The sequence below is a fragment of the Homo sapiens genome, chromosome 8 (genome assembly GCF_000001405.40).
Source record: "Homo sapiens chromosome 8, GRCh38.p14 Primary Assembly".
Classification (NCBI taxonomy): domain Eukaryota; kingdom Metazoa; phylum Chordata; class Mammalia; order Primates; family Hominidae; genus Homo; species Homo sapiens.
The window spans coordinates 123,687,582-123,712,608 of record NC_000008.11 but is presented as its reverse complement, the minus strand read 5'-3'; the positions used below and the strand labels follow the sequence as shown (position 1 = coordinate 123,712,608).

Here is a 25,027-nt window from a genome sequence, read left to right as displayed (position 1 = left end):
CATGATGTTAGGAAGCTGACATCTCACTATCTTGTGTATTCCGAGCTAACGCAAGTCAATCACTTCCACTAACCTCTTTATTAAAGTTCGCAAAATTACAGTAGGATCCTATTACTTTTCAGGATTCTATATAACAGCTAGGAGTTGGATATTGTGACGTTTAATTTGAACTTGAGGTGAGAGAAACTTCATGAGAAGTGCAGTTCATGCAATCCTGGTGTATTAGTCTGTTCTCACACTGCTAATAAAGACATACCCGAGGTGGGGTAATTTATAAAGAAAAAGAGTTTAATGGACTCACAGTTCCACATGGCTGAGGAGGCCTCACAAGCATGGCAGAAGACAAAGGAAGAGCAGAGGGACTTCTTATATGGCAGCAGGAAAGAGAGAATGAGAACCAAGTGAAAGGAGTTTCCCCTTATAAAATCATCTGATCTCGTGAGACTCATTCACTACCGTGAGAACGGTATGGGGGAAACTGCCCCTGTGAGTCAATTATCTCCCACCAAGTCCCTCCCACAACATGTGGGAATTATGGGAGCTACGATTCAAGATGAGATTTGGGTGAGGACACAGCCAAACCAGCCAAACCTGGTATGATCTAAACCCCTCTGATCCCTTCCCTAGGAGATGGTGGGGAATTGAGTCTGATGAGAGCCGGATTAGGGACCTGGAAGCAGCATGTAGAAGTAGATCGGCCGGGCACAGTGGCTCACGCCTGTAATCCCAATACTTTGGGAGGCCGAAGCAGGCGGATCACGAGGTCAAGAGATGGAAACCATCCTGGCCAACATGGTGAAACCCCATCTCCACTAAAAATACAAAAATTAGCTGAGGGTATTGGCATGTGCCGGTAATCCTAGCTACTCAGGAGGCTGAAGCAGGAGAATCGCTTGAACCAGGGAGTCAGAGGTTGCAGTGAGCCGAGATTGCGCCACTACACTCCAGCCTGGGTGACAGAGAGAGACTCCATCTCAAAAAAAAAAAAAGAAAAAAGAACTAAATCAAGTGAGTAACTGGCCAAGATCAACCATCAAGGGTTGAAAATGGAGAAGCTGTTTACATCCTAAGGGTCAGTGCATGGCCAAGAGTGGGGGACTCTGCAGGAAGTCAAAACAAAGGTAGACCAGGGACCAGGGTGGGATGAGGGAGACAGCATCTAGGTCTAGGGCCATGAAGAGAGGCCCTGGGATCCAAGGAAGCCACTCATGACACAAGGTCTAGTCCCAGAAGCCTGGAAGAGGGTGACATCCAAAGCACAGATGGAAGGATTTCCCTTGAACAGGACAGGGAGGGAAGGTACTGAGACTGACAGCTGGAGTAGATGCCTTCATAGGTGTTGTTGGGGCAGAAATTGAAGGCATCCATGCCTGGTAACCTGACATTGCTCAGTGAGTGGTAGGTGAGGTTGTCTGCTAAAGAGAAGGGTTTGACAATGGAGTATGGGGCTTGAGTGGTGGCTTGAAATAGCCCTTGAGTAGCAGAGAAGGGGGAGACGACCAACAGAAGACTGCTGATACACACTAAGGGCCCCACTGAGTAGGGAGATCATGGTTTCTCATGGCTCCAGCCCACATGGTTGTGTGATTTTCCCCTGTATCCTTGGAGGTAGGACGGGAAAAATTGATTGACTCTGGGCTTGCTGATCAGGAGTTCCAGAACAACAAGCAAGTGAAATCATTGAAGGAGACAGAGGGGTCAAGGGGCAAAGTGGATTAATTTCCTAGATTTTCTTTTTTACATTTATTGAGAAACGGTTAAACTTTCAGGCATTGGACTAAGCACTTTATATACAAAATCTCATCAAGTTCTTACAAAAATCCATTTTCCAGCTGAGGAAACTGATGACCTGACATTTTAAGTAAGACAGCCAAAGTCACCAAGCCAGTAAGTGGGGAACACTGTGATTGAACATATTCTTGTCACTCACTCCAAATGCCACCAATTTAGAGACATCCTAGCTAGGGCACCTCAGCCACATGGCTGCAGTCCTGGAGGGGGTGGGGACAGACTGAGAAGACATTGCTCAGTGTCATTAACAATAGGTAGGAGCCATGTCAGTCCACAGAATGTTTTATTAAACTAATTTTTTGCTTATCGAGATATAATTTGCATACCATAAAATTCACCCTTTTGCAGCATGCAGTTCAGAGTTTTAGTATATTCACAGGATTTTGCGACCATCTCCACTTATTCCAGAACATTTCATCACCCCAGAAAGAAACCTCACACCCATTAGCAGCCCCTTCCTCCCTTCACCTCCAGGCAATCACTAATCAGCTTTCTGTCTCCACAGATTTGCTTATTCTGGACATTTCACATAAATAGAATCATATGATATGTGGCTTCTTTTACTTGGCATAATGTTTTACAAAAACAAGTGATAGGTTTTTTACATAGAAGTGGATTAGTAGAGATTTACTTTCCTAGAATGGGTGTCATGGTAGAATAAATATGGCCACAAATTTTTTGTATGGCTCCAGAGGAATAAAACTTGGATCCATGGTAGAAGTTCCAAGGAAACATATTTTGCTTTAATATAAGAAACTTGGCTGGGCGCAGTGGCTCACACCTGTAATCTCAGCACTTTGGGAGGCCAAGGCAGGTGGATCACCTGAGGTCAGGAGTTTGAGACCAGCCTGGCCAACATGGTGAAACCCCGTCTCTACTAAAAATATAAAAATTGGCCGGGTGTGGTGGTGCACACCCGTAGTCCCAGCTACTCGGGAGGCTGAGGCAGGAGAATCGCTTCAACCTGGGAGGTGGAGATTGCAGTTGAGCTGAGATGGCACCACTGCACTCCAGCCTGGGTGACAAAGAGAGACACCATCTCAAATATATACACACATACATATATGAAACTTATCTAGCCATAGAATGGTAGCCTTGCCCAAGAAATGTTGACAAGTCTGCAGGAGTTGGGATTGGGAAGATCTGGTAGGAAAGTAGTACAAGCTATGGCTACATATTAAAACCCATTTATGCCTAGTGTTCCATTATTGGGACACTAAGCATGTGGGAGTTATTTATATCCTACTGCTCAAGGTCATTGCCAAGGTCTGATTGCAAAAATTCAAAAAACTGCAACCTCAGGCATCAATGCGTTAAGAATTCTTGAATAAATCAGAGCTAGAGAATGGGGGGAGGAAGACAGAGAAGGAGGGAGGAAAAGAAAGAAGATAGGGAGAGAGAAGAGAAAGAGAGAAGAGAGAGGGAGGGAGAGAGTGAAGGAGAGAAAGAAGAGAAGGAGGAAGAGAGAGAAAGAAGAAAGAAGAGAGAGGAAGAGAGGGAGGGAGGGAGAGTGAATGTGCAACCTGTGTTCTCATCTACAAAATGAGGATAACAATGTCTCCTCACATGGAGAGGGATAAAGCAGGCAACGCAGAGCCCAGCACCTCATTGGCCCTCGTTGCATGTGGATCGCCTCCTTTGGAACAATGTGCTGGGATCCAAAATCTGCACAAAGCCAGTGAGATCGGTATGAGCATTGAGTAGGCGCGCCCTTGTTCTCCATCACTCAGGGTGAACTGGGTTGAATGGGGGCTCCCCAAAAATATATCCCCCCAGAACCCGTGAACATGACTGTTTGGAAAAAGCGTCTTTGCAGATATAATTAAGTTAAAGATCCTGAGATGTGATTATCCTGGATTACCTGGGTGAGCCCTATATCTAATGACAAGTGTCCTTAGGAGAGACAGAGACACACAGAGAAGGCCATGGGCAGATGGAGACAGAGACTAGAGAGATATGGCCAGAAACCCAAGAATGCTAAGGGTTCCCGGCAGAAGCCAGGAGGGGCAAGGAACAGACACTGCCCCGGGGCTGCTGGAGGGACTGTGGGCCTGCCGACACCAGGATTTCAGACTTCCACCCTCCAGAGCTGTGCAGGAATAGACTGCTGTTGTTTTAAGCTATCAAGTTTGTGGTCATTGAATCAGCAGCCTCCCCTCCGGAAACTGAGACAGTGAACAAGTGGGAAGCAGTGACTTGCTCAGGCAGGCAGGACTGTGCCCATTCATTACTTCATCTGTCTTCCTTGCACTCCCATTTCCAAAGGAGAAATGAGGGACTGCGCGGCCCAGCAGTGCTAGCAGAAGAGAGTGACCCTTAAGCACCAGAGCGGGGGCTGCAGCCTCCTGGGCCCAGCCAGGCAGGCTGGGCTGGCATTGGAGCCCAAGGGAAAGCTGAGCCTCCACCACAGCCCCGATCACTGTTCTGCCACAAGGGCCTGGGGGCTTCCCACCCTGTCTGGAGCCCCCTTCCTGCTGAAATGTGACTCGGTATCTTCCCAGAAAATTTCTCGGAAAAGCAAAACCAAGGAGGCCCGGAGGCACTTCCTGAGGCTGATTATTGCCCCGTCTTTGACCTCTGCTGTGAAATTACAGTGTCCAGTGTGTGGCTCCTTCTTTTCTCATTTTTAAAAAAGCCTTTCCCAGAACCACTGGGGACTGGCCCTGGTGCCTCAAACCATTGTAAGTATTTACAGGAAATCATTCAGCGGCACTGCTTATACGATACACATATTGTGAAATGTAAAGTGAGGTCACTGTTCAGTGACTGGGTAGTAGAAACACCCCCCGGATCAACCTGAGACCTGGACTCAAAGAACTTGGGGGAAATCCAGTGTTGTTTTCATAGCCTCCCCCGACGTCCAGGTTGTTGCTGGGCCGTCTCAGGACTGTTTTGCAATCTGGTTTCTCGCCCTTTTTTTTCTTTTTTAGCTTTAAAATTTCATAGATTTTTATTAGGTTTTTTATTATTATTATTATACTTTAAGTTCTGGGATACATGTGTAGAAGGTTCAGGTTTGCTACATAGGTATACATATGCCATGGTGGTTTGCTACACCCATCAACCCGTTATCTACATTAGGTATTTCTCCTAATGCTATCCCTCCCCTTGCCCCTGACCCCCTGACAGGCCCTGGTGTATGATGTTCCCCTCCCTGTGTCCATGTGTTCTCATTGTTCAACTCTCACTTATGAGTGAGAACATGCAGTGTTTGCTTTTCTGTTCCTGTGTTAGTTTGCTGAGAATAATGATTTCCAGCTTCATCCATGTCCCTGCAAAGGACATGAACTCATTCTTTTTTATGGCTGCATAGTATTCCATGGTGTATATGTGCCACATTTTCTTTATCCAGTCTATCATTGATGGGCATTTGGGTTGGTCTCTTTTTTTTTAAAGCATTCCCAAAAAGAACATCTAAAGATCACTATTATTTTCAATATTAATTTCATTTTCCTGATTATCCAGTTGTGGACTCCATGTGGCATCAGAGTATGGAGGATTTCTATTGGTCCTTGCTACACAGACCCATCTGAATATCACATACAACTTAAACCACTTCAGAGACAAGGTTCTGTCGTGATGACATGCAAACTTCCTCATTCATCCATTCATTCATTCATTCACCCATCAATTCATTCATTCATCTGTGCACATGTTTAAGCATCCGTTCATTCAGCAAGTCATCTGATAAATACTGACAGCCTTCTGTGGGAATACCATGGTGAACAAAATACTCTGCTCCCGTGGAATTTGCCATGTGTCCTGGCAGAAACAGGAAGAGCAGGCAGCATGAGAGACACAGAGGGCGAGATGCCTCATCTGTCCAGGAGTGTGCAGGGAGCTGAGACCTGAAGGAGAAGTAGGAGTGGAGGTGAGGATTGGTGTGTTCCAGATGAGGGGAACAGCCCATGCAAAGACCCAGAGGCAAGAAAGAAAGTGTTGTTTGTTCTAGGAGCTGCAAATCATCTACAAAGTGGGTGGAAAGTAGCCTGGGAGAGGACAGGTAGGAGGATGAGACTTTGAGAGGCCAAAAGGCCCCATAGGCCCCCCTGCAGAGTTGAAGCCTCATTCTGCATTTGAGAGGGCCTATACTGAAAGGTTTGAAGCAGAGGGGTGAGCAGGCCAATCTGCACTTCAGAACGGTTGTTCTGGGGGCAGTGAATGCCAATTGGAAAAAGTGAGAGCAACAGAGGAACTTGCATGTGGGTGGTATCCATAGTTCTGCTGAGCGATGGGGTGGAGATGAGGATGGAGAGAAATGGGTGCATCTGAGAGGCACTAAGGAGGTGGAATGGAGAGGCCTTAGTCTGATTGAATGTGGGGTGAGGGAAAGGGGACAGCCAGGCCTGAGCCCCAGCTTCCTGGCTGGCCCAGTACAGTGAGTGGGTCTCCTGCACGCAGAAAGGCTCCTTCCGGGCTTGGCACCTGCCAGGATCCAGGCCTGAGAGGCCAAGGCCCTCGTCTGGGACAGGAGTGGCCTGAATGGAAAGAAAGAGGTAGGCTCAAGAGATATTTACAAGAAAAAGAAATCCCTTTTGAAGTGAGATTTCTGACACTCCGAAGTTTTTTTTTAAAAATCATAATAGTGTCATAGAATGAGTAATTGGATTCCCACGATGGAGGCGAAGCTCCGGGAGGAAATGAAGGAGGACAACGTGAATCCCAGTGTTGAAACCAAGCCAGCACCAGGCAGGCAACTCACTCCTGCTATTTTTGCAAGTGAGATCCTCCTAGAATTCTGTTTCTCCAATTGAAACCAAACAGCTAAATGTTCCCAGAGCTGTAGAGGTGAAAATACTCTTTGAGGTTAAGTGAACGGTTCAAGGACCCAAAGGTTTGGAACATGGTTGTCACATCAGACCCCTGCTCAGGCCTGTCTTTCCAAGTCGCCTCTCTGTCTTTCCAAAGCTGACTCTGAGGGCTGGTGCTGGAGCAGAAGGAGGGTTAAACAGCTCACATTTTTTTGCCAGGGCTCCCTTTTTTTTCTCTACCCCATCTCCAGCTAGTTTCCCTCCATTCATTTCCCATCCCCATGGCCTAGATTTTTCCTACTCTCAACCCTTCCATCAAAATGCATTGCACGATCTTGTTCCTTCAGGATCCTGATGGCTCAGCTGGGTGGCAGCCATCATCTAGGTCCACACACCAACCAGAGCAAGACAGCAGTAAGTGACACTGTAACAGCACACACTGCCATGTAGTGGCCACTCCCTAGAGCCCAGGTGTCGGGCTCAGAATGTCACTACTGCAGTCTTGGATAATCACTGCAGTGATCCTAGAAACATACATGTAAATAGTGTGCTGTGCCAAAACAGAGGAAGCAGAAACTTAACAAGTGTGGCTGAGATTAGGTGAGTAAGCCTTGGGCTGCTCTGTGCAGAGATGGATCTAGAAGAGTAGCATGACACCAAACTGCGGGAAGTCTCGATGCCACCATAAGGGATTCTGATGTAATTCTAGGAGTCAAGAGGAATCACTAAAGGTATTTAAAGTATGGTGTGAAGTGAACACATGCGAGCTTCCCAGGGTGGACTGCAGAGATCAGAGCCTGGTATCGGGGTGAAGGCTAAAAACACTTAGGACCTGTTAGGCAGTGACAGAAGGAATGAAGAAGAGGAACAGGTAAAAGAGTTGTCTCATAGGTGAGACAGGCAGGACTTGGTAGTATTTGAGAGTAAAAAAGACTGATGGGCCCTCAAAGGTGACTTTGGATTTTCTCTAATCCGTGTGATGCCATGCACTGAGACAAAGGAACAGGATGAGGAGTGGATTTAAGGATAGACAAAATGAGTTTGGTTTAAGCTACAATGGAAGTTGAAATGCCTTGGGAGATCCGTGGGAAGTTGACTACAGGCAGCTGGAAATAAGATCTGAACTCAGAGGAGAGATTAGGGCTAGAGGCGCTGATCCTGGAGTCATCAGTCAAAGGGCGAAAGTCGCCTGGGAAAGGAGTGACTCCAATAGAGAGGAGAACTGAAAATCGAGTTTAAAAGGCCAGTGGAAGAATACAGGCCAATCAAGAACCCTGAGAGGGAGGTGATGGAGAGGAGAAAGGAAAGACTGGGAAAGGAGGTACAAAGCCATCTAGGAAGGTGTTTCACGCAAAGAATTGTCAACCGCAGGCCGGGTGCGGTGGCTCATGCCTGTCATCCTAGCACTTTAAGAGGCTGAGGCAGGTGGATCACCTGAGGCCAGGAGTTTGAGACCAGCCTGACCAACATGGTGAAACCCCATCTCTACTAAAAATACAAAAATTAGTTGGGCATGGTGGTGGGTGCCTGTAATCCCAGCTACTCGGGAGGCTGAGGCAGGAGAATTGTTTGAACCCAGGAGGTGGAGGTTGCAGTGATCATGCCACTGCGCTCTAGCCTGGGTGACATAGCCAGACCCTGTCTCAAAAAAAAAAAATAATTCCCGACTGCAGAATTCAAATGCTGCAGAACAGTCAGGTACATGCAGGAACCGAGAAGAGGTGCTGCATTGTGCCTCAGCTTCCTCTTCTGTAAAGAAGAGCTTGGACTAGATAGTCTCTAACATTTCCTCCAGCTCCAGAGATTGCTGACTGCTGTGCCTTGATCCCACCGAGCTCGATCACTGGGGTGAGCAGTTCATGGAGGGTGGTCCCTGTGCACACCCTGCATGGATGTGAGGCAGTGCCAGGCGCGTGGTCATTTACATCCCCTGGTGTCCCGGGTTTCCCACGTGCGTGCTTAGGACCACCGCGGACTGGACCCACACTTGGATTCTCGCATTTCATTCTCACAATAGCCTTGTATACTATTACCCTCATCTTAGAGGTGGGAAAACTGAGACTTGGCAAGAAAAATCACTTGCCCAATGTCATGCAGTCGGTACAGGGTGGAGCTGTGATTTGAGTCCAACCTGAATAAATCTAATGTGGGGTTTGATGGTAAAACCGTCTTTCTTATTCGCACACTGGAAATACCTGTGTCATCTTTCCGATCCTGGTTCCTGGTTCAAACAAGGACATTCTCCCCTTCTTTCTTATTCACTATAGTTTTCAGTACTGATCAAATTGCTGCCATGAGCTTGTATTACTTTGAGCATCAGGGGTAAAAAAGCTTCTAAAAATAACATAATCTAAAGGTAATAGGAGTTAAAAGGGGCAACCTCCCTTCATGGTTTCAATCAAGACTTCTCTCCTGAGATTAACAAATGTATGGGTGGGGTTAATATTGTAACAGTTTCAGCCTATATCCTAATCTTGTTCATGCAATTGTAAGCACCCAGAGGCCAAGGAACAGGCCATCTTTTTCCTTTTTGTTTTTTAAAACATTTTAATTGAGATATAATTCATGCACCATATAATTCACCCATTTAAAGTGTTCAATTCAACAGTTTTTATTATACTCACAGATGCATGCAACCACCACCACAGTCAATTTTAGAACATTTTCATCACTTCAAAAAGCAGCCCTGGACTCCAGCTACCATCCCCCTAGGCAGCCCACCCACCCCCAGCCACTAGTATACTTCCAGCCTCTGTATATTCTCCTGTTCCGGACTTTCATACGAATGGAATTATATAACATGTGATCTGCTATGATTGACTTCTTTCACTTAGCATAATGTTCTCAAGGTTCATCCATGTTATAACATCTATCAGTAATTTATTCCTTTTTCTGGCCAAATAACATTCCATTGTATGGATACCCCATATTTTGTTTATTCATCTTCAGGTGATGAACACTGGGGCTGCTTCCACGTTTGAGCTATTATGAGTAATGCTGCTATGAACATTCACATGCAATTGTTGGGTGGACATATGTTTTCATTTCCCTAGGAATAAAATTAAGGAACCAGCCATACTCGTTCCTCTTTCCACCACAATGCCTAGCACTGTGTGCCATGTGCTGTGAGGCCTCAATGGCTATTTGTCTAAGTGAATGAAAAGAATACAGTTTTCAGCACAAGGCATCAAAGCTAAGGGTCCGTTGGGTTCCATAGACACCTCCAACCACCTTTAAGCTGTGAGTCCTGGCTTCCTCACCCTGGACTAAAATAAACTTCCACCTTGTTTCTTATTCACTGTGGCTTTGTTTGTTTCTCCTGTATTTTAGGGACCAATGAAGCAGCCATCATTGAAATCTTATCGGGCAGGACATCAGATGAGAGGCAACAAATCAAGCAAAAGTACAAGGCAACGTACGGCAAGGTGATTCCAGGGGTGGTCAGCAAGCTTGCACCCAGCCATGGCCTCAGCCGTCTCGGCTTCCTCATGTCCCCAGGCCACGCAGAATATCTTTATAGCTTTATTGAGTCAGCCCAGGAGGAAAAGTGAAATAACCACTTAAAAGCATTAATGGAGTTCAGAAAAACTGAAATTGCTTTGTTAACTCAATAGCCTGTAAAATCAATACTCTTAAACTCATTTCTTAAATTGACTTCATTTTTCTATGAAGACCCTAGTCTTTTTTTCACTTAATTGGGACTAACTGTACATATGTAGCTAGATCAGTAATTTGAAAATCAGTTTCCACAAGTGGGTCTTTATACAGGAATTTTTCATAAGCGATTGTTACAGAAAACTACCAAAAAAACTCTCCATTTTATTAAGCTATCAACACCTATTTTTCTTTACATTTTCTTTCTTTTCTTTCATTCTTTTTATTGTTGAAAATAATTTTATAGAGAGAAGTCTTCAAGTATGCATTAGGCTTTCTTATTTCTTTATTAATATGTAATGAACACAACTTAAACTTTTCTTAATGTCATTAGAATTATCATTATGCAAAATGAATATCAATTATTATGCTGTATTCTCATTTATATTTTTCAAACTTTTACCATTTCAATCACTGTAGGTATAAATAGATATATAGAAAGATGAAGATGGGTTTTCCTATTTATTTGATACTGAGCAGGTAACAATTGCTTCAGGCCTTGGTCTTTTCATGGATAGAAAGAAGATGATAACTTAGCTCCCTTCTCAGGTTGCTGGGAGAATCAGTCAGGATAATGCCAGCATGTACCAATACAGGAAAAAGCTATGATAGCTATGATTGTTTCCATTTTACAAAATCACACACCTAAAAAAAAAAAAGAGAACCAGGACTCACATCCAAGTCTCACATCCAAGTCTCCTGACTTCAAGAACAGTATCCATTCCTGGAGGACCCAGTGCCATAAATAGAGCTATTTGCTTGTACACTAAATGGCCCAAATGGCTGTGCTTTTGTGCTTTTTCTGCTTCTCTCCTTACTATTAGGTGCGTCAATGTAATTTTTGATGAAAATAAGTGCATCTTCAGTTCAACTGCATTTAATTGAATGCATGAAGCTGAATGTGTGTGTGGTTTTTTTTGTTGTTGTTGTTTTGTTTTGTTTTGAGACGGAGTCTCACTCTGTTGCCCAGGCTGGAGTGTAGTGGCATAATCTTGGCTCACTGTAACCTCTGCCTCCCGGGTTCAAGCGATTCTCCTGCCTCAGCCTCCTGAGTAGCTGGGATTACAGGCACGCGCCACCATGCCCAGCTAATTTTTGTGTTTTTAGTAAAATTTTTGTATTTTAATTTTGGTCAGGCTAGTCTCAAACTCCTGACTTCGTGATCTGCCCACATCAGCCCAAAGTGCCAGGATTACAGGTGTGAGCCACCGTGCCTGGCCTGAAGCTGAATTTTTATCCCTGTCAACATCCCTAACTCCAGTAGCCTCCCAAGACACATTCACCCTACCAATATGAAAAGTCAGTCCAGGCAAGGTGGCTCACACCTGTAATCCCAACACTTTGGGAGGCCAAGGCAGGAGGATCACTTGAGCCCAGGAGTTTGAGACCAGTTGAGACCTTCATCTCTACCAAAAATAAAAAATTAGCTGGGCATGGTGGTGTGTGCCTGTAGTCCCTGCTACTCAGGAGGCTGAGGCTGGAGGGTTGCTTAAGCCCAAGAAGTTGAGGCCTCAGTGAGCCGTAGTTGCACCACTGCACTCCAGCCTGGGTGACAGAGAGAGACCCTGTGGAAAGGAAAGAAAGAAAAGAAAAGAAAAAGAGAGAAAGGGAGGTGGAGAGGAAGGGAGAGAAGGGAAGGAAGGAAAGAAAAAGAAAGAACAAAAGAATGAAAGAGAGAGAGAAAGAAAGAGAGGAAGAAGGAAAGAAAGAAAGAAAAATCGGATACAATGCTTCTTAATCTTTAGTCTTTAGTCTAAAGAAGAGTAAATGGATTCAAACTGAAAGCCTAGGGGCCCTGTTAAAACTTAAATGGGCATGTTCTGGCACAAAACTTTGTGATACTTCATTTGCCAATCATTTGCTTACTTTCTGGTTCTCAGCTGTGTTTCAGAGAACTGAGACTGCCAAACAGATAATCTAGAATCCCAACAACGCAAAGCTAGAAGATGTTAGGTATGATCCAATCTCAGCCCCGTGTCAGTTGACCTCCAAAGAGAATAACCACCCCGTGGTAACAGAGTCAGCAGGAAAACCAGGAGTAGAGCTGAGCTATCCCGAGCCTTCTACTCTGTCCAGTCAGAATGTAAGCACACAAGGATTTGTTTTTATGCCTGTGGCTTGTAAGAGTGGGAAGCTGGGATTTTTCTTCTCTGCAGCTTATATAATGCCCATCTGGCCTGAAAATATATTTCCAATTTTTAGATGACTCCACACCATAGAGTACTGACCACAGACCTGCCTTCACAAGATGCAGTGTTGGCTGGAGCAGCCACTGTGGGGCGGAGGCATAATATAACAGCCCCCTTGTAGGACTGCAGATCCCAGGGCTTTGGACAAAAATATTCCGGGTTTTTCTCCCAGGCCAAGAGCTCAGAGCTTCATTTGAAAAATAGTTGATGTGCCTCCTCTTAGAAAATTTTTTTCAGCATGGGAGATTAATGATAAGCATTTATTGACCGTTTAAAATATGTCAGGCAGTAATGCTCAGTATTGACAAGGATTGTCACATTTAATTCTCCCAAAAACCCTGTGAGGTCAGTCTAGCACTGTCTCCATTTTCTAGAGCTGAAAACTGACAGTTGGTGAGATTAAGTACATTTCCAAGGTCACAAAGGTACTGTGGCTGTGTTCTTTGCCACCATGCCACACTGCTGGGGAGCTGCCCACCCTATGCTATAGTTTGTGTCCTTGAAATGCCAGCTTGTCTATGGGCCTCCAATCTGAGCCATCCCAGGCTGTCGCTCTATGTGAAGGTCTTTGGTTTAAGTTAGGGCATTAACTACTCTAGGTAGGCTGATGCCCATCCTTGACCATTTCTCCTGTTAAACCACATTGTCAGAGGGAGACAGGGAGAAGGTAGTTAGTTTTCTTGTGAAAAGAGGGTGCTCAAAGAAAAGAGGAAGACAGGTGCTTGTCAGAATAGATGGCAGGCTGGGGTCATGGTGGCTCACGCCTATAATCCCAGCACTTTGAGAGGCTGAGGTGGAGGATCGCTTGAGCCTAGGAGTTTGAGATTAGCCTGGACAACATGGCAAAACCCCATCTCTACACAAAAAAATTTAAAAATTAGCCGAGCATGGCAGTGTGTACCTGTAGTCTCAGCTACTTGGGAGGCTGAGATGGGAGGATCATCTGAGCCCAGGAGGTCGAGGCTGCAGTGAGCCATGATTGCACCACTGCACTCCAGCCTGGGTGACAAAGTCACCCTGTCTCAAACAAAGAAAAAAACAGATGCCAGTAAGAATTCCATGTACTTCCCCTTCTACATACCTGCATTCTTCTTCACCTGTGTCCCTTCCAGGATTTAGCGAGATAACGGAAGTGACGGTACAGGCCGTCGTTCTTCCCATGACAATCCTCTTTATTCCTGTTATCCTCTGCAATTGCTAATAGTGCCCCCTTTCACACTGAAAGGCATCCCAATTTGGATGACAAATTCTCCAGTCCTAGAGATAACAGCCCTGTATTTCAGCCCTTCCTAGCTGAATATTTGGGGAAAATTCTTCATCTTATCAGGTTCAACAGATCTTGAGGATTTTTTCAGCGATCTTGAAGACTGGCTGAAAAAGCTCTCTGAGCTCTCAAATGTTCCACAGATACTGTTGTTATTGTGATTCATCGGTGAGGTCTCCAGCCCTGAGCAGGGAGCTCCTCTCTGCCTCTCTGCCAGCCCTGGGGAAACGTGGATGGGCAGCTGAGAGCAGGTTGCATGTTCTCAGCAGGTTGCAGGTTGGCAGAATTCATGTCCACAGCACCTTTCTTGTCAACTATGAGCACTTGCAATAGTGCAAGCAGACACCTGCCCCTCTCCTCCTGGGCCATTCCCAGCACGTCTCTCACTGTCTTCTGGTAGGAGCTGGAGGAAGTACTCAAGAGTGAGCTGAGTGGAAACTTCGAGAAGACAGCGTTGGCCCTTCTGGACCGTCCCAGCGAGTACGCCGCCCGGCAGCTGCAGAAGGCTATGAAGGGTCTGGGCACAGATGAGTCCGTCCTCATTGAGGTCCTGTGCACGAGGACCAATAAGGTCAGTCCCAGCTGAGCCCGCAAGGGAGCATCACACACCCAATAGAGATGGTTGCAGCCCCCCAGAAGGGACCCTACTTCCCAGCATTCTATCCATGGACTGAGCAGGTGTCTGGGGAGACATATGTGTGCTTGGTCCATGTGGGAGGACATCTCTTCCAGTCTTCCAGAGGTCAGTCTTGGTGTTGCTGCCACTTAACAGAATCGATCTTTTCAGAAGAGCTGTGTCCAGCGAGCTTCTGCTTTTCTAAACTGATGCTTTTATAAGCAGGAGGCACAATTCTACTTTCCCCCACCCAGCCTGACTTTGCGGCTCTTCTGACATGAAAAATCAACAAGCAGCCCAAGCATGCCTGTGCCACTGCCTGGGCTATGGCGGTCAGCTAGCATAGGGTACAAAAGAGACTATAATGAGGAAGAGAGGTGAGTGGTGCTGGGGGATGCCAGTGAACACCCCAGTGGCTGCCAGTACTACCCTGAAGGGTTGTGTGTCCTTCTGTCATCAGACAGAGGGATGTCACTCGGCACATGCCACCTTTGCAGGGGCTGAAGAGAGCATTTGTTGAGGCCCCATGGAGAACTATTTGTCTCTGGCTCCAGAAGCCAGGAGAACCAAGGGACTCATCAAGTCAAGAGGGTCCACAAATAATTCACAGGAGAGACCCCTCCCTCTTCAGCAACCACACATGACAGCAGAATGGGGCAGCCCAGCAAGGAAAATGCCAGAAGAGCCCAACATTCTTGAGGCCTCTCAGCAGGAAATAGAAGCAGATGTTGGAGCAGACAGCAGGCAAAATGCAAACAGTGCCCTGACACAAAAATGCCTGGAGAAGGCCTGGGTGCTGGGCCACGTTCACGCTGCTCAGCCTCTTTTCCTGAAGTGCCGCCAGGGTCCAGGCTACAGGTGCAAACCTTTTCTGGAGCATCCCCGGACTTCTTTTCTCCCCACAAGATAATAAAAATCCTCCATTTCAAGGAGTCTCAGGTTGGGATGATGCTTCGGAGGAGGGTTAGCACAGGCCCCCCGGGAGTGTGAGTTGAGGCCAAGAGGCACACAACTTCCCCCACTCAGCATCCACCCTTCTCAGAAGCACCAAGGTCCCAGCAGGGAGGCAGCCAACGCCAGGGCGGTCAGCACCTGCCTTTGTGAAAAGGTTAATTTTAATCATATTTTTCAGGCCAGGTACAGTGGTTCACGCCTGTAATCTTAGCACTTTGGGAGACCAAAGCAGGAGGATCACTTGAGGTCAGACGGAGTTTGAGACCAGCCTGGCTAACATGATGAAACCCCGTCTCTACTAAAAATACAAAAATTAGCCAGGTGTGGCGCCATGCATCTGTAATCCCAGCTACTTGAGAGGCTGAGGCAGGAGGATCGCTTGAACCCGGGAGGCGGAGGTTGCAGTGAGCCAAGATTGTGCCACTGCACTCCAGCCTGAGCGACAGAGCGAGACTTCGTCTCAAAAAATATATTCATATATATTTTTCTAATCTCATGTGATCATAGCTTTTTCTCCCTCAGCCTAGTTTCTTTAAGTTCCTGGCTTCAACCAATAAGCAAGGCCTCTCTATCAATCAAATAGATCTGATGGGATGAGAAGAAAAACCTGCAGAGAGTGGGTGCCAGGTTCAGGCAGATCCTGGTTGCGGGTTGGAAGGAGAAAAGGGAGGGAGCTGCACAAACACAAGTGATCAGCCTCCCCCAGCACCTAGCCTGCCCTTCCCTCCCACCCAGGAGCAGTGAGGCTCCCCACCGCTTTCTCCCCATCACCACCTTCTCCCAATCACCACCTACTGACTTTCATTTTAACCAGCTTGGTGGTGGGGGGGGTGGGGGAGCAGGAAGCCTGCTCTTACAAGCTGCTGGTTCAAGTGTAAACTGAGGCAGCTCCTGAGGTGCACCCCTTGGCACCAGACATTGAAATATAAAGCAGTTTCTCCAAGAACACACCCTCAAGAGAAACTAGCACTCCTGCACGCAGCCAGTCTGTTACTGAACGAAGCCTTGTTTGAAGGAGAGAAAACTTGGAAACGACCTAAGCCTCCATCAATAGGAGGTTGGCTAAGTAAACCGTAGCTTATTGTAGTATGGAATATTTTGTGTCCCTTTAAAAAACTCTAGGTGACTATCCATGTACAAGCATAGCTGGATCTCCGGGATACTATTATTGAGAGAAAAACTAAGTCAAGGAATGATAGGTACAGTATTCCACCTGCTAAACACATGACACCTATACAATTCTGTTTTCAGTAGCACATATATATACAAACGCAAAAAAAAAAATCTGTGTATCTTTCTGATACGCACTGAACTTCTAACATGGGTTACCTGAGTGGGGAAGAGAGAGTGAGACCAGGCGAGGAGGTGGTGAAAGAAGGTGTTAGCCTAGCTGTAAACTTCTCACATTTAAAGAAAGAGAATGCATGCATTTGTCACTTGTGTGTTAGAGATGTTTGCAGAGGTGGGCGGAGTGGGGGGGGGGCGGGCCGTCACATCTCCAGGGACTCGCTCCAGGCGTGTGCCCTGGACCTATAGGGATGACCATCTTAAGAGGAAGTCTTGAAGGCACTTTGTGTCCAGACATGGTCTCCCGCCTCTTCTCTCTGTATCTCTTATTGATTAATCCCTCCTTGGAATATTGATTTTTTTGTAAATTACCTTCCCTAGGAAATCATCGCCATTAAAGAGGCCTACCAAAGGCGTAAGTGACTTTTCATTCTGGCTTTGGATAAAGTATGTTTCTTTCAAAATACCTCTGGGAAACTAAATCATCTGCTTTCTTCCCTCCTTGTTTACTTCCTTCGAAGTATTTGATAGGAGCCTCGAATCAGATGTCAAAGGTGATACAAGTGGAAACCTAAAAAAAATCCTGGTGTCTCTGCTGCAGGTAAGAGGAAAGAGGTGTCACCTGTTTTATCATCTTAGGAAAGAATCCTTGGCAACATGGCACCATGATGAAAAAGGGTAACGTAGATAAACATTTCTTTCTTATATTAAAAATATTATCAAGGGATTATCAACCCATGCTCCATCAGCCCAGCTCTGGTGAAATTATATTCAATTGGAATTACTTCCATATAAACAATCTGCCTAGTCATTTGCAGTTTACAATCACTTTTTGTAAATGAATCGGCTCATTAAGCATCACTTTGTCATTTTGCCAGTGAGGAAATGTAGGCCATGAGAGGGTGGGTAACCTGCCCAGGTTCATGCAGCCAGTAAGAGACAGCCCAGAAGCAAGAACCAGACTATCTGACCCCAAGCAGGGCCGCTTCCACAACACAACTCTACAATTACTTCCAGGATTCACTGGATCCTGGGCCTGTAAGGACTACAACAAGAAACTCAGCCAGGACATCAGGGCTTTCAGAATTGGCCCTGCTGGGACACAGCCCCCCGAGACCTCTAGACAGACACATCTGTATTCTTATGGACACACTCATCTTTACGAGCTCTGTGCATTTTCTCTGTTTTGTTTCTCCCAATGGGATACACTGACAGCAGAGAACAGAAGAGAGAGGCTTCCACTGCAGCAGGAAGAGAGTTTAAGTTTTCTCTTGCTGCATAACAAATCGCCACAAACTTAGCACCTCAGAACAACATAGATCTATCATCTCACAGTTTCCATGGGTCAGGAGTCCAAGTAGTATCTTGGAGATCCAGCTGAATAATATTTGGGTTCGCTGAGTCCTTTGGTCAGGTTATCAACAGGCTGAAATCAAGGTGTCGGCCAGGGCTGCCATCTCATCTGAGGCTCAGAGTCTTCTTCCAAGCTCATTAATTGTTGGCAGAATTCATTTCCTTATGTCTGTGTTTGATGTCCCCATTTTCTTGCTGTTGACCAGAAGCTACTATCAGCTCCTAGAGACCGCCAGCAGCTCCCTTCCACACAGTCCCCCAAGGCAGTGCACCACATGGCTGTTTGGTTTCTTCCAGTCCAGCAGCAGCTCATCTCTCTGACTTCTTCCATCTCTGACCTTTTAAGAAGAGCTCATTCATCTGGGTCAGGCCGGCCAAGGATAATCTCCCTTTTGGTGGACTCAGCTGATTGGAGACCTGAATTATATCTGCAAAATTCCCCTTTGCCATTGAATATAACACAATCACAGGAGTGGCATCTCCTCACATTCATAGCTCTCACCCACACTCAAGGGAAGGGGATTATACAAGGATGTGGACCATTGGGTCATCTTAGAATTCTGCCCACCACAAAGGGCTCAAGTTAGACTTCCATGACCAGCTCTCAGGGTTTTTTAGGACTGGGACCTTGAGTGGTGAAATCTGATATTTTGAAACGAAGAGGGGACTCATTCTAGGGAAAACCAGAGATCGCACTCAGTCTGCTCAGAGGTCAGTGGGGTGTGTGGGTGACTCTGGTTTCTACAAAAAAAAAAAAAGGCAAAACCAAGTGTTGCCACAGAAGCTCCTCTGTTTATCCATTGTGCCCAAAAGATGGCAGCAAAGAGCAGGTGTTTCCTCCTTGCCAGGCTGAACTGAGCTGAGCTGAGAAAGAATTCACCTCTTTCTCCAGGACTTTGTTTTTTTTGTTAGTTTGTTTTCTGTGGTCAAGCAGGAATGCAAGTTAATAACAATGTGTCAATTTTTCTAGGCTAATCGCAATGAAGGAGATGACGTGGACAAAGATCTAGCTGGTCAGGATGCCAAAGATCTGTATGATGTATGTGTGCAGACATGCCAGTCTCTGCAAATTCTTTTTTTAAATTTATTAGCATTATTTTCAACAAATGTTTATTTCATGCAAAGAGGAGTTACTTGGGAAATAAGAAACAAAGATATGCTTAGATCTTTCTAGATCATATATATAGTCTCCATGAATCTAAATGAATGGTTCCTATTCTTATACTCTGGGGTTGACCACATCAGATCTGTTTTGGAACAAAGAATGGTATAAACAATATAAATAAGTATGTGAAATACATTTGTGGGTTAGAAGCTGAAAGTGCTTAGTCCATTTGACTTCTATTCAATGCATAGTTTATAATTTCCTGTCAGTGAGGCCTAGTCACAGCACTGCATAATCAGTCTTTTCACAAAAGCCTTTTTCAAAGTGTTTGTATTTGACCCTTGAGGCAGGGGAAGGCCGCTGGGGCACTGATGAGCTTGCGTTCAATGAAGTCCTGGCCAAGAGGAGCTACAAGCAGTTACGAGCCACCTTTCAAGCCTATCAAATTGTAAGTCATAAAGTATTGGGGCAAAAGAGTTCACTCTGAAAGTGTCTTAAGTTATTTCCAAAAGAAGCCAAGATCTGCAATAAGGAATTGGGGATCCTTTACAACAGTGGTTCTCAATTGGAGGCGATTTTCCTACCTAGGGAATATTTGATAATGTCTAGAATTATCTGGAGTTGTCACAGCTGGGGGTGGTGGCCCTGGCATCTAGTGAACAGAGGCCCGGGATGCCGCTAAACAGCCTGCAGTGCACAGGACAGCCCACCACCAAGAATCCTCCAGCCCCAGATGCAGTACCCAGGCTGGAAACCGGCTTCACAACAGACGCCAGGGAAGCAAGTGTCCCATTCAGGGGAGAAGCTCTAGAGTCCAAGAGTCCAGGTGCAAATCCTGGGTCTACCACTGGCAAGTGACCAAATCTCTCCATCCTGTTTGTAGAACAGGAACCGTGAACATCATCTTCACACCCTCAGAGTGATTTTAAGGTTAAATAAGATAAAGACTCAGAACAGTTGAGCTGGCATGTGGCAAGCATACTAATGTTTGCTACTATTACTCCAGTTTACAGTTGGCTAACAGTGCCCACCATTCTCAAGACAGATATGAGGTACCTCAAAGATAGCCTCCTGAAAAGATGCACATAAATTATATTTTAATCCCAGGATAAATTTAAGCCCACAAAGCGAGTTAGTTATTTCAAGGCCCTTAGCAGTAAGTCCTTCCCTGAAAAGCAGTCTTTACTTGCAAAACGCCTGGAGTGGAATATCAGATTTTTTTTTTGGCATCCTATTTTATATGTGTAGAGTGCTTTTACCTGCTCAAAGCACTTCTATGTTCTGTGTCTCATTCAGTTTCACAACAACAGGGTAACTATAATGTAGGCCGAACAACTATTGTGACCCACAACTGCTGGACAAGGAAAGTCTGTTGAGTGAGGAACCATCTGTAACTTATCAGGACCACACAGCAAGTTGGTAGCAGAGAGTGGATGAGAACTCCAAGACTCCCCGGCCTGAGCTCCTACCTCAGCTGAAGCTGGCCACTCCTCACTCCAAATAGCATTTCCTATGTGTTGCCAGCAGATAAAAAGACAATAAAGCTTTGGAATTTTATCATGACTGTATATAAGCCTTTAGGGCCTGCTCCTTTCAAATCGTGCCCAGAGTCATGATCAAAGACAGCTGACCCTGCACTCCCCTGGTCTCTTGTTCCTGGAGCTGCGTAGCCTCTGAGCTGGAGGACTTCTCTATGACTGAGATCCTCCTCCCACACTACGGAGCCCACAGATGGAGTTTCTGGGTACGTGTGTGTGTGTGTATGAACTGACTACCTGAAAGTACACTCTCCAGGCTAATATCTCAAAGTTGATCCTGAAACAGCACCATCAGCATCACTTGAGAATTTGTTTAAATTGAGAATTCTCAGTCCCCACCAGACCTACTGAATCAGATTCCCCGGGGCTAGGGCCTGACCATCTGTGTTAGAGCAGGTGTTCCAGGTGATTTTAATGTATATTACAGTTTAAGAAGTCAGCTTTAGGCTACAGCTGTATGTCCTTGTGCAAGTTATTAAGGGTTCTGTGCCTCGGTTTCCCAAACGTAAAATAGGGATAATAGTACCTACTTCATAGGGTTAATAAGGATTAAATGAGTTAACAGAAATAAGCAGTTAGTCCCTGGCATGCAGTAGGCGTTCAATGAACATTAGCAATTGTCGGGCGTCTCCCTGGGTGAACAGACAGTGCCAAAAATCAGGGCTAAAGCTTATATGTACAATAAGGTAATCTATGGATTTGATGATTCTTTACATGAAACCAGCTCTAAAATGCTATCTATTCATCCATTTCAAAAGCCTTGCTCAAGTGTCATTCTTGATATTTATTGCTGATGTTTTTAGAGTTCAGCCTGCTCTTAGACCCTGGTTCTATGATTTTTCTGATGGCTTCTGACCAAAAGCACAGAGATGCTAGTCTGAGATCACTGGAGTTTCTTATGTGGCATGAGTCGTCCTGGCTTAGGGTTGAATTTTAATTTTCAGCACAAAAACTCAGGGTTTTGCCATTTATTTATGCTCTAAGCCTGAGTCTTAACTTCTGACACTCCCAGCAATCCCAGGCCACGCAACAGTTTCCCAAACTTCTGCATCATGCAGGATTATTACAGTCCCCAGCGTTACCAAATATGAAAGACTTATATAGCTATAAAACCAAAGTAAAGTCCCCAAACAGGGCTCAGCATAAACAGTAGGTATGCATACCCATAGCCCACTTTGCTGCCACCTCACTGCGTGCCTCACCCTTTGCCCCTCCCCTGTACATGTTCCTTATTCCACGCCAGAGGCTTCAGCCCTCTAACTGCTATAGTCAGTGCCAGAGCACAGAGGGCTCTGCTGTCAGCGTGCCGTCCATTTGGGGAAACCGATTTTCAAAGAAAGAAATGTCTCCCCTGCTCCTCTAATAACCTCCCTGCAGGCATTGCTGCCTGTTTAACTAGAGTCTTAGAGACTTGTTTGGAATCTACCCTTATAATGTGTTTTTCTACTGAGATCAGAAAATCTGCTTCTGTACAAAGAGCCCCTAAGAATCACGTTGCAGTAACTGAAGTGAGAAGTATCCAAAGTACAGTCCCAACAGCTTGGGCCAGACCATTGTTTCAGATTGTGTCCCACGGAGACGCCTCAGCAGCTACCAGGAGTAGGGTGGGGCAGGAAGCAGACAGGGCAGTACCTTCTTGTTGCAGTGTGTGAATAGCGCCTCCTGGAGTTGTGCAAGGAAAAAACCTGAGCGGGCAAAAACATGGTATAGATGCCAATGGCAAGGGAAAGGAGCCCACCTCCCGCCTCCCAGCACAGCTCTGCTTTCTGCTTTCATCTGTTTTGTAGGCTGAGATTCTACAGAAAATTTAAAATCCCTGCTCTAGCCTGGTATTAACAATAGAAATGGAAAACGGTTTAATGTGAGGATTTTTTAAAGTAAACAAGACCTGTGTGAACAAAATGTTCTCTTGAAGTATGATCTCAGTCTACAGAACAAGAACCTTGTTTCTGGGAAAGGGATACCAATCCCTTCCAAAATAATGACTCCCACATCAAACCCAAAAAAGACTGGGGGCAGCTAAGGAAGGGACAGTTCCCCCACTCTTCTAATCTGGTTTCTATTGCCACACACCAAGGCCTCCAGATATGCAAACAATGACTAGGAGATCAAGCAACAGGGCTTCATTAAATCTGGACACAGTTCCTCCCCCGACATATATTGTGCTTACATCACAAAGAACATTTTGTTTACCTGTGTTTTCAAAATAAACCACATAAACTCCACTGGTGCATACTCAAAGTCCCCAATTATTTATAGAATCAATTGTGTCATATCCTCAAAAGATAATTTCTAAGAAAGAAATTTCAGTGTTTCTAATGCTTAATTGCATTTCTCCAAACCCAGCAAAGCATTCTCCTTTCTCTTTATGTGCCTGCCCTGAGCTTGGCCCGGGCAGTATTTGTGTTAAGGATAGTCACAATTTACTCTGAACTTCAGCTTCTGTAAATATTTAGAAAGAAACCTAATGTGTAATGCTGCGCAGAGCAATATGTGAGCCAGTGGTGAATATAGGATTATTTGGAATCACCCCAGAGTGAAGACAAGTGGCATTTTGATGTGGTCAGCACCCCCGGCTCCCAGCCCTTGCAGACCCACCCTCTCAGGAACTTTAGATCAAGTTGTTATCATGAACTTCACCATGCCTACTTATTTCACTCAAACTGTGACTAAGTCCCTGGTCCCAAGACAAGGGAGAGGATGGAGGTGCATGTCAGATGATCATAACCACAGCCTCCTGGGAAATTGAAACTGGAAAGGGTGAAGAACACATGGGAACTAAACTACACATCAATGTTAAAAAAAAAATCTATGATTATAGTATATATAATATATTAATTATATATATTATAATATATATTATATATTAATTGTTTCTCCACTCCCAAATTTTACAGATGAGGAAATTGAGGTTGAGGGAGTGGCACTAAGGTCAAATCCATTGGGAGTCAAATCTAGACTGACTCCTCAGCAACGAGAGCCCTCTCTCGAATGGGTGGCAAACACCCCAATCCTACAAGGCAAGAGTCAGGATAGCAGTTCCCTGAAGCCACAGGACTAAATCTGGAAAACTTGAGTGCTTTTTGTAGAGGAACAACCCCAAGAGTACTAAGGTCAAAGGCAAACCTGGAATAACAGTTGATTTTGGTTTTCGCTGCAGCTCATTGGCAAAGACATAGAAGAAGCCATTGAAGAAGAAACATCAGGCGACTTGCAGAAGGCCTATTTAACTCTCGGTAAAGTAAAGTTAGGAGAGCTCCTGTCTTAGGTTGGGCTGCCTGGAACCAGACTCAGACAGAGGTTTGTGTGTAGGAAGATTTGAGGGAATAGCTTTTGGGGGTCAACAGGTCTAAGCAGCACTGAGCAAGAGAGAGAGTGACTGTGATGTAGTTGCAACAGGGGCGTTGCTGATCCCACAGGAAGCTTGGAAGCTGAGATGTCCAAGGTGGAGCAAGGGGGCCAGGCTTTTGCACCCCACATCAAACAGTCATGTAACACTGGCTGTACCAGGGGAGCAGTGCAACTTTGGGCAAGCCAGCTCTCTCCCTTGGAGGGAGATTCCTGGGGAGGGACTCAGCTGTGAATGACTGCCTCGATCCTGAATAGGGCATCTGAGTGGCACACCACAGCATCCATTGCAGTCCTGCTGTATTAGTCCGTTTTCATGCTGCTGATAAAGACATAGCCAAGATGGGGTAATTTATAAAGAAAAAGATGCTTAATGGACTCACAGTTCCACGTGCCTGGGGAGGCCTCACAATCATGGCTGAAGACGGAAGGCACAGCTTACATGGTGGCAGACAAGGCAGAATAAGACCCAAGCGAAAGAGGAAACCCCTTATAAAATCATCAAATCTCGTGAAACTTATTCACTACCATGAGAACCGTATGAGGGGAAACCACTCCCATGATTGAATTATCTCCCACTGGGTCCCTCCCACAACATGTGGGAATTGTGGGAGCTATAATTCAAGATGAGATTTGGGTGGGGACACAGCCACACCATATCACCCACTAACACCATGGGTCCCTGAGGGCACCTGTCAACAACCTAGACTGTTATCCAGTTTCAGGCAGCCTGATAGCTCACAGGTTTCCTTTTCCATTTGGTTCCTTTCAATGTTTTCAAATAATGAAGTTTGTTTGGAAAGAGAGGTGAGGGAGATCAGATCCTGATTGTGCCAACCAAACCCCAGGACCTCCTCTCCAGGTGTTGCCCAAAGGCAGGAAATAGCAGAGAGATGGGCATGGGGCTGTGTCTGACAGGCTCCTTCTTTCTTTCTGCAAGCCCTGGAATGAAGGCATTGTCCATTGTCCACAGTCCTGTGGTGAGGAATCCAGGGCACCAACCCAAATGGCAGAAGGAATGGAGAGACCTGTTCTCAGAAGAGGAAGAACCAAATAAGCAGCCCTGGAAGTTAAAAAATGTGCTCCAGTTGCCAAACTCTTTTGTTTGGTTTCTTTGGGGTTTTTTTGAACAATGTCAGCAATTGATTTTTTTTTAATCCATCCTTATTTTGCATTC

At 45.6% G+C, this 25,027-nt stretch overlaps 1 protein-coding gene across 2 annotated transcripts in view; it reads left to right on the top strand.

Moving 5' to 3' along the window:
• ANXA13 (annexin A13) overlaps positions 1–25,027 on the top strand; it is a 56,600-nt gene that overhangs the window by 24,785 nt on the left and 6,788 nt on the right. For both annotated transcript variants that reach the window (NM_004306.4, NM_001003954.3), the window contains 7 exons: positions 9,873–9,967; positions 14,050–14,220; positions 16,888–16,921; positions 17,028–17,107; positions 18,830–18,898; positions 19,311–19,412; positions 23,663–23,738. In NM_004306.4, the coding sequence (NP_004297.2) occupies positions 9,873–9,967; positions 14,050–14,220; positions 16,888–16,921; positions 17,028–17,107; positions 18,830–18,898; positions 19,311–19,412; positions 23,663–23,738 (627 nt within the window). The remainder of the gene's footprint in view (positions 1–9,872; positions 9,968–14,049; positions 14,221–16,887; positions 16,922–17,027; positions 17,108–18,829; positions 18,899–19,310; positions 19,413–23,662; positions 23,739–25,027) is intronic.